We start from the raw sequence: 10,539 nt of genomic DNA, 5'->3' as shown, positions 1-10,539 counted from the left end.
TTGTCCTAGACTGAAAATGTAGTGATTGCTTATTTATCTTCTTAGGAGTATTTATATTTTAAGGAGGAAGAAAGCATGTAATATGTTGGACTGGTATCTGTGATTTCTCAATGATGTTCCATTTGAAGGCATTATGGATGACTTAAAAGTCATCCGTAATGATGATCCACGCCAATCAGATGGGTGGAGAGAGGAAGCAAGCCAGATTGGACAGGATAGGGGCTGAGGAATATTATCTCACTGTGGAAGAAGATGCAGTATTCAGGAGCTCAGTGGTTGGCTTCTCGACATCAAGTTAGAAGACAAGGCTCAGCCATGGCCCCAGGTCATGGGGCAATAAGCTAATAGTCTGGTATCTAGGAAGTAAGATTGGGAAATATTTTGATCTATGGCAGGAGACTTGGCAGTGAAGAGGAGTCCAGTTCTAGGTCTATCATTATGGAGGAGAACTCAGAGAAGATTGTCAAGCCATCAGTCTTCCAGATGGTTCAAAGCCAAAAGTAAGTCTCAAGTGACAAGGTGGAGATTGACTCCTGGGGACTAGAGGGCATCAGGTAGAACGGTCAAGCCACACACCTAGGAAAGGAGGTAGGTAGAGCAGTAGCTTCAACCAGCAGGCTCTGCAAGTCCTGGGAGCAACAAGTCTGGCTCTTAGGAGCATCAGGACAACTCTGAAAGCCACAGGTTAACTCAGCTGCCATGCCTAGGTCCTGAGACTCCGCCCGAGAATGTGCCCAAACATTCTCCCTTGCCTCCTGCATTGGCTTAGGAATTGTGTGGGCTTAAGTCACAGATAGAGGCTCTCAGGGGTGTTAGCCATTAGGAATGAGTCCCAGATTGACAGTGGGTAAAGAACCTAGATCTCTGATAAATCTTTTCAAACTGAGACATCTGTAAAACTGACTTGAAATCTGGAGATAAATTATTTTTAAAAAATATTTTGTTAATTTTGTCAAAGAAATGCATGTCTGTGGTTTAAAAATGCAAATAGTTACACCCTATAGAGAAAAACAGCAGTCCTAATTTCTTCCCTTTGTCCTGCCTTCTAGAGGCAAGTACAATGAAATTCTTACAATGTATCTTTTATACTGTATATGTTTAAATAGCTTTATATCCTTCCTATTATATGTTAATATTTTTCTCCAACTTCTAAAAAATATTCTTATATGTCTTTGTTTATGATACCTGGCATTACTTGTGGATATCCTTTCATAAAGGATGTTTTGAGTTCCCTAACCCCTCTTCTTCCCCAGGTATCTCTCTCTCTCTCTCTCTCTCTCTCTCTCTCTCTCTCTCTCTCTCTCTCTCCCTCTCCTACCATCTCTTTCCAATACAGTTGTGCCACAAAATTGAATCTCATGTAACACATGTATTAGCGTTCTGCTCTTTGCCTTCTCTGTTTGTTTCAATTTGTATTTTTTTATGTTTGTGGTTGTTGTTTCTTCTTAGTCTTTGATGTCTTTATTCAAAAGTCAGGCCATTCTTGACTGCATCCATATGTTAAAAAGAACTTGAGAGCTAATGGAAAGCTGAAGGCTTGGGTGGAGCTTGCCAACTTACTAGGCTGAGAGGGCTGTGGACTGGGCTTCCCAGTGGGAACATCAAACATCGAGATTTGTAGGACTTCTTGCCATACCAGGGTCATTATATTTCTTCCAAGAAATCTACTGTGTCCTCCTGCTTGGAGTTATATGCTCATCTGATCATGTTATGGAAACAGGGCCAAATAGGGAAAGGAATTTCACCGTCCAACATGCAAGACTCCTATAATTATTGAATCACTGTGTTTCAGCCTTTGTGCTCCACTATATTTGATGGAAAATATTCCATAATTGTTTTGATAGGCCTATGTGGTTTAATTTTTTCGGATGTTAAAATTCAGTTCCTCTGCAATTTAGGCAGAAAGGGAGTGATAATGAAGAGGAAATAGGTGGTCTCTGTGAGTAAGAAAGGTGCCTTCAGGTATCATTTGTACCATATAAAATTCTTTTCAGTTTCTGTGACCCAGATACTGTTAGTGTCTCCTATCTCTGAGCCTTTTGGGGGTTTCAGAGAACAAATGTTCCCACTAATTTGTCAATACCTCTTAGGAGGTACATGGATTATTTTTCTCTCTCCTCTGCCAAGACAGTTACCACTTCATCATCTTATTTCCACAGTCCAGTAATTTACTGAGGCCTTCCACCTTGCTCTCCTCCTTCTGTGGTTGTGGTCAATTCACCATGTTTAAAAGAATATCTATGGTATTTTTTAAAATATGTCAACTTCCTCCATGTTATTTGCTTTCAAAGAGAGGAGCCTCGAATGCATAATGTAAAAAAAAAAATGAAATGATGTGTTAGTAGTGGACATTCTGGACATTGTGGCACCTCACAGCTATTTTAGATTAGGGTTGATTCTAGGAAGCTCTCGGATGATGTCAATGGGTGGATCTCTATGATGCCTAGGCATGAAACAAACACGGCCCCCAACACAGCACAAGAAAAAGTATTGATTTTCCACATGTATGTGACTCAGTGGAACCTCACCTTGTCATTATTCTGCAACATATCTTCAAAGTGAAAAGGATATGGAAATGTATCAGCTGTGTGGCTTTCCTGAAACCATTACAGGACAAACATAGACTAGAACAAGCCAAATTTGATTACACAACCTAAGCTTTACACTGAGAAGTTCATACACACCCAGAAAGAGGGTCATCTGGAAAAAGAGAGGTTCACCATTGTCACCTTCAAGTTTTCCCCCATGGACAAGCCTAGGGAGGTGTTCAGACCCAGAAAACATCTCTAATATTTCAGTAGTGCTAGCTTTTCCCCTGCCCTGACCAACTAGTGGTGTGAAACTAATCAGAATTCCCCTCATGCCACAGCTATTTCTGAATCTTAGTTTGCGTATCTAGAATAGTAGATAATGAAATTATACTTTCAGGCTTTAATATATTTCATTTTTGATTGCAAAAGAAGTTATAGAGGATTATTTATGCTTGGAACTATGTCTGAGCTCTTCTAGGGAAGATGGAATTTGATACCACACCAATTCATTTACTTTCTTTTCAACTGGATTTCTGGAATAGCAATTTTTGTATTTATTTATAATGTTTATCATCGCCTTAATGTTAATTTAATCTCTTTGAAAAAAAAATCTTCAGGCTGGTAATAAATGATACACTGGGAAATAGGGAATTGATAATACTGATTTCAAACTCTAAAATTCCAGTTTAAATTTACACTTAGGAATTATTTATATCCTCATATGTCATATCAATTTAAATAATATCCCACTCACTGGGGCATAAAGAATAATGCTAATATTAAAGTTTCTATTTAATATCTGCTAATTGCACATGAAGGGGTTATATCAGCTGCATTTAGGGTGTTTTTTATTTAATTTTACTGTATTAGAAAATCTATGAGGTTAAGTATCCTGAAATTATTGCTTTTAAATATTGAGCAATAAGAATATTGTCCCCATGATGCACCCTATATCATCTGGCCTTGAATAAGCTTTCTCCCCACTGCAAGGGGGTGGGGTGGTAGAGGTAGCAGAGAGCTTAGTCTAAACTTGGTATAAATATGGGTGATCATACTCCCCTTTTAAAATATCAAATCTGCATTTAAAAAGCTCTTTTCTTCATGAAATCTAATATCATTAATGGGGCTATAGGCTTTATAAAACCAGAATCCCATGAAATGAAATAAATCTTATTACTATAAAGTTGGGTTCTATCCTAAAGGGATGCATATAAACCATAGTTAGTGCCCTATCTCAAACCCTTAGCATGATCTTCATTTGTTGGATTTTTCAATAAACTGTAATTGAATGCTTCCAAAGCATAGCAAAGTGGTAAGTTTGGAAGGAGGCTTAGGTCCGGAATCAAGATATAACCACGTATCTGTATGAGCTGTGCGACCTTGATCACATTGCTCAGCTTCTCTGAACCTTGGTGGTTTCTTGGGCTTTTGAAGGGAAATAATAATCCCTACCACAGAGGATTTTATAATATCAGTAAAAAAATGCTGTAAAGTTTCTAGTCCAGGATAGAGCCTGTGTTAAGTTTTCTTTCTTTCCTTTTTTTTTTTTTTTGAGATGGAGTCTCGCTCTGCTGCCCAGGCAGGAGTGCAGTGGTGCAATTTCGGCTCACTGCAAGCTCCACCTCCTGGGTTCATGCCATTCTCCTGCCTCACCCTACTGAGTAGCTGGGACTACAGGTGCCCACCACCATACCCGGCTAATTTTTTGTATTTTTAGTAGAGATGGGGTTTCACCATAGCCAGGATGGTCTCAATCTCCTGACCTCACTGTGTTAAGTTTTTTTTACTACAATATAATAATAGAGAAGGTAGTAGGAAACTTTTGGAAGTGATAGATAACTTTATGACATACATTGCAGTGATGGTTTCATGAGTACATACTTATCTCCAATCTCATCAGGTTGTATATATTAAGTATATATAGCTTTTTCTGTATGGATCATACCCCAATAAAGTGGTTTAAAAACAAAGTTTCTAGCCCATAATACATGTAAATAAATTGTTGTATAACAGAGTTCACAGACCACACCAATCTAAGGGTACAAATTGGTCACTGTAAAATAATTTAGATTCCATGAGCTCTGTTTACCACCTGCTGAAGGAGAACCTCTGACCCCCCAACAGAGCCCTCTCTGGCATCTCCAATGTGCTAATTGTTAAGCATGCATAGACACCATGCTGAAATCAATCCCGTATCTGCCATCCCGACTCCTGCCCTTGTCCACCAACATCCACAAACAAAAACCATTTTTTCACAGAGTTTGTCTGACTCCTTTTCATCCCACAGTAATGGTCATTTTTCTCCCTAGAGATTTCCCAGATGTGGGAAGACACACGCAGACCCCTCTCAATCTACTTAGATTCTAACTGGGACACCCCACAGGAGAAGCTGAGCTTTCTGTTGAGCTACAGCTTTGTCGAGAAGCAATGTTCCCAGAAACAGAGGCACTTACCTTCAGTGAAGGAAATGTCATTTAGACAAACAGCAACAGTTTCTGAAAGTATACTACCCAGGGAATAAAAATTCTATAGGCAAAATTCATGAGAGAGAGAGAGCCCTAAGTATTGATACCATGAGGAAGAAGTTCAAGGAAGGTATTGATTTTTAAATGGATCTAAAAGATAAGGCAGAATTTTAGCAGAAAACTGGGTAGGATAAAACCTGAAGGCATTGGAGATTGGTGGAGGGTTTTCTAGAGCAGAAGGCAAGTGTCAAGGGACATTGCAAAGAAGGGCTGGACAGAGATGAGGAAGGGAAACAACACTAAGGTGGTTGTGGTGATGTTGAAATACTGCATTCTTCTCATCTACCATCAGTAAGACATGAGTTTCCAACATGAAATGTGTTCTACCCTGAACTGTCCATACTTCCTTTGTTGTTCCCTTTATTACTCATATACCGTGTATACTGCATAGCAATGTAGTAGTTGTAAAGTGGGAGTAGAGAGAGGTTTCATCACAATGTTACAATGTGTATTACAACCCACTCTTATCAAAATAAGCAGAGAAATTAATGAGAGAGGCATAGTTTGAGGTAGAGCTGGTATGTCCCTTCATAAGGAAACACATATCTTCTTTGTTTTCATATTAATGAAACATAATATTTGGCTCATAAAATAAACCATGACTTGTCTCATCATTTGCAAAGCTAGCTTCCTGGACCCAAAGATTCCATGTTCTGTAGCATTTTTTCATAATTCTCCTACCCTCCAAACGTTGCCATTGTGTTATCAGGATATGGGAACAGCAGTGGCTAGTAAATTCTTATAACTTGATTGGAAGAGTGTTGTTGTACCCCCCTACTACCCTTCCTTCTATACTACAGTTTTACAGAGATAAAGAAGACATCTCTTTGCCAAAAACCACTCTTAATTTCTTGTGGCATTATGTTTTATGGAAAGATAATCCAGTGAGTCTCACACGTCTGTTTGCTTTTCGAAAGAGCAATCAAGGAAAAGAAATTCCAAGAAATGGAACTCCAGTTGTGGAATTATATGGCAACAAGACAATCATTTAAATAACAGAAAACAGGATGTTCTGGAAGGTACAAGCACCACCACTGCATAGAAATTATAGGGAATATATTCAGGTCTCTGTATACATAAGAACTTTTTTATAATGAGATCTGTGGGAGGAATGTTCCAGGAAGAAACCAGTACAGGGTGGAAATTTCAAAAACATTATCTCAAGGAGATCTGCACATCTATGAATCTCTGGCAATTTAAGGCGACCATCAGTCAGGGCAAAGATGTTTTTGACTGGAGAAGCCTGTGCAAATTTGTCAAACAATAGAAAATAGGAGGGTTCTGTAACACATGCACAGGAATCTTGAATCAGACACAAATCTCCAACATACAACTTAGTGAAATGTGCCAGGGCCCTACCATGAAACATTCTTTTTAAGCACAAATTGTTAATATTGAGTAAGGTAATCTATGAGGCTAGAGGACATGTTGAATAAATGTTTCTGGTTCTTGAGACTATGCATGAATTCTGCTTCAACATGTGGCTAATCAAATGAAGCTCAAGTATGTATATGTGGACACATCTATAGCTAATGGTTTTTAAAAACTTAATTTGTAAGGTCATAGTTGACTGATGAACAATAACTTCAACTTAATAAATGCTGATATTGATCAACCAAAAAATTAATAGCTGCTTAATAAATTAAAGAAAAATAAAAATATATTGGACTTAATCAGATTATATATAACATAAAAATTACTTACAAAGTATAATATTTGCCAAAAAAGTATAAAGAACACTGAATATTTAATTAGAAGTATGTTATTAGTGTGGCCATTCTTCAGAACCAATCAGAAAGGAAGGAAGGAAGGAAGGAAGGAAGGAAGGAAGGAAGGAAGGAAGGAAGGAAGGAAGAAAAGAAGAAACAGAAAAAGGAGGAAAACAGATTTGCTTCTCAACTTAGCACAAACAGTAATGCCTGCAAGACAGCACAACAGAATTTCCCCCTGGGTCTCTAGTACTATGGCTACCACACCCTCCACCCTGCCCTCCAGGAGCCACCACTCTCTGAGTGCTCGATCCAATGAAGCTAAGGCACTGCAAGAAGTCCATCCTCACCTGCTTGTATTAAGTAACTCAATTCTTACAAAAATTCTGCATAGTGGGCTCTACCTATTATACTTCCATTTTTCCAATGAAAAGATTAAAGATTAAAAAAGTTAAATCACTGGCAAGGCTGAATATAGACAGATGTGAAGTTTTAAAGTGTTTTATACTGCAGGAGAAAATGACGTGGTCAATCAAGGCAGGAGGAGCAGTGGAAAGGGGCCTAAGAGACCAGCAATGGTGGACACTATGGCCAGAGAGTGTGTGTCTGGCATGTGACATAATCCAGGCTGTTGTTCTGGAGTGACTCTGTTGAGGCAAATAGAAAAGAAAGTCACTGAAGATGGGGAACTTAAAAAGCAGAATACTTGGCTGTGTTCTGTGTCTTCCACATGCCTGGGGAAACCTCCAGCATGAAGGCAAGCTGCTTCCCTCAGTGGTGAGTCAGGTCAGGATCTGCCGTTCTTAACTGCACACTGTGCCTTGTCTGAAGGGAGGCCATCTTCTCAGCCCCACTCAGACCTCACCTGCCCCACTCAAAGCTCATATGTTAACAGTGTACTCCTACAGCTTCTAGTTGCAGTGAAAGCACCTTGAAACCTAAATGCTAATGTATATCAAAATGGCTAGAGTACTATCTCTAGTCCCATTTGAACTGAAAAATATCCAACTTCCATGTCCAGTGGAATGAATTGATTGAAACGTGCCTGCATAATAAGTCTTCAAGGACAAGATGAGCACTCGGGTGACTCTCAGTATTCCCCAGTTGGTCACTGTCCCTGTTGTTCTCCCGTCGAAATGCATAGTTTTAGCTTCAATGGAGTTCTCCTTTGTGACCAAAGTGTAAATCTCTCCTGTAAAAGCTGTGGTTTACACTGATTTTTGTTGCTTATAGCTTGGCATAAATGAGAGATCTAAGAGCAGGTGCTGAGAGAGAAATGAGGACTCTAAGAGAAAAGAGAAACTTGAAGTGGGGGAGTATCCTGGGGACACAAAAGATAAACTATGCTGATGTCTTCATTTTGCACACCCCTCCTCAGAAGTCTTCAGCCTTCTTTTTTTTTTGAGACGGAGTCTCGCTCTGTCGCCCAGGCTGGAGTGCAGTGGCGCGATCTCGGCTCACTGCAAGCTCCGCCTCCCAGGTTCACGCCATTCTCCTGCCTCAGCCTCCCGAGTAGCTGGGACTACAGGCGCCCGCTACCACGCCCGGCTAATTTTTTGTATTTTTAGTAGAGACGGGGTTTCACCGTGTTAGCCAGGATGGTCTCGATCTCCTGACCTCGTGATCCGCCCGCCTCGGCCTCCCAAAGTGCTGGGATTACAGGCGTGAGCCACCGCGCCCGGCCCAGCCTTCTTTATTCATTCAGTGCATAGGCCTCTAGCCTCATTCCTGTTTACCCTGGTCAAATGGTAACATTTCTGTTAGACAAACCAAGGAGTTTGTAGGGAGGAGGATTTAGTCAATAAAATCAATATCCATAACTAAAATTTAGTTTAGTCATATATTTTATTTCAAATGTGTATGGATTAATCTATCTGTTGCCACATAACCCCAGCTTCGGTAAGGGTAGACCATGCCTGCATCCTCCCTCCCTCCAGAGAGGTATTATAAAGTTTTTATGGTCATCACAGACCTTCCCTACCCTGAGGATCTGTAGCTTTTTTTTTTTTTTAATCTTTCAGACAGCCTCAGCTAAAGCTTGGAGGAATCTAAATAAATCATAAAATGTCTCCATAAAAATAGTTTGTCCTGTGAAAGAATAAATTAATGAAGCCAGTTTGGACAAAAGTAAATCATAGGAAAACATCATACCCTGACCCTTCCTAAAGTACTAGTATGTCTGGGTTCCTATTTCCATTTTTTGAGATGTTCCCCTGCCCAAATGCCAATGTGTCAGCTGCTAGGGGAAAAGAATCTCTCAAAATCCCTAAGGCTAGGCTGGCCGCAGTGGGTCATTCCTGTAATCCCAGCACTTTGAGAGGCTAAGGCGGGCAGATTGCCTAAGGTCAGGAGTTCGAGACCAGCCTGGCTAACGTGATGAAACTGTGTCTCTACTAAAAATACAAAAATTAACCGAGCGTGGTGGCATGTGCCTGTAATCCCAGCTACTTGGGAGGCTGAGGCAGGAGAATCACTTGAACCTGGGAGGCAGAGGTTGCAGTGAGCCAAGATCTCTCCATTGCACTCCAGCCTGGGGAGCAAGAGTGAAACTCCATCTCAAAATAAATAAATAAATAAATAAATAAAATCCCTAAGGCTGAGATGTCAGGGAGTAAATGGATCCCTTGCTAGGGGAGGTGGTATCCAGGAAAGCAATGGTTTGGCATGTGTGAGACCTGGGTTCACCCCTGGCTTTACCAGGTACCACTGTGGATACACTTCACCGTTTTGTGAACACTTCACCTTTTTATTAATATTAGCTGAAGCTCTTATTTCCAAGTGAAAAAAATTCAAGTCTAGCTTGTGTATGTAGAAGAGGAACCACTTTGGCTTGTGTGACTGGAAAACCGAAGTGGTGGGTTACTGCATTAGTCACAGCCGGACCAGCTGATCAAGTGACTCTCTTATGGGTTCCACAAATACTGGCTGAGGGCCTGCTTTGGGTTTGGGAGCTGTTCTAGGTGCTGAAGATACAACCGTGAACCAAACAGAAAAATCTGTAAATATATGGTATGACAGATGGTGATAAATGCTATGGAGAAAAATAGATTATGATCAGGCAGAAGAGGAATGGCTGCTTTTTACTGAGTGGTTGGAGAATGCTATGTTTGGGTAGAGATTGAGAAAAGCCAGGGTGCGAAGCCTTTAGGAAGCTCTGTGACTGCCTCTGTCTCTGTCATGGATTTTACCCTCTCTGCTTCTCTCTCGGTTCTGTTTTCTTCTGGCTTTAGTCTTCAGCAGATTCATTCCACATGGCATCAGGCATCATTCCACATCAGAGATGGCCACTTGAATCTCCGGGCCTGCCTGGCCCTGTCTACTCATCTCTTAAGAGGAGAGACATACTCTCTTTCAAAGTCTCCCCATCAGTCCCTGAGAAAGGACTTTGGTCATTGAGGTAACAAGATCCCTCTGAATGCCTCACCAGAGGACAGTAGTATTTTTATTGGCCAGCCTGAATCACAGGTCTAAACTTGGGGCAGGAGAAGAGAGCTGGGTGATTGACAGCCTCACCAGATGAAGAAATATTAGCTGGAATAGACATGGGTGCAGGGACACTGGCCATGGAAAAATGACAGGTGTTCACTATGTCACTAATCCTCAAGTAATCTTATTTGTAATAAGAGAATAAACATGCCTAAGTGAAGAGTTAAAACACACACTAGAGGCAGCATATGTGAACTGTCTTATGTGTAATGACAACTTATTAAATAGTGACCATTGTCCTATAGATCCCACGGGGCTTGCCCCTGCTCTATGTGTTTCTTGCTGGGG

At 40.6% G+C, this 10,539-nt stretch overlaps 1 annotated feature.

The window, feature by feature from the left end:
• Window positions 1,255–1,863: an enhancer, noted in NCBI's record as "NANOG hESC enhancer chr18:35665211-35665819 (GRCh37/hg19 assembly coordinates)". NCBI's record gives its function as "activates a minimal SCP1, AML or CMV promoter by ChIP-STARR-seq in primed H9 embryonic stem cells {active_cell/tissue: H9 hESC(primed)}" and the evidence as "EXISTENCE:reporter gene assay evidence [ECO:0000049][PMID:30033119]".

This window comes from Homo sapiens, chromosome 18 (genome assembly GCF_000001405.40).
Source record: "Homo sapiens chromosome 18, GRCh38.p14 Primary Assembly".
Classification (NCBI taxonomy): Eukaryota; Metazoa; Chordata; class Mammalia; order Primates; family Hominidae; genus Homo; species Homo sapiens.
This window is presented reverse-complemented; position numbering and strand designations above follow the sequence as displayed.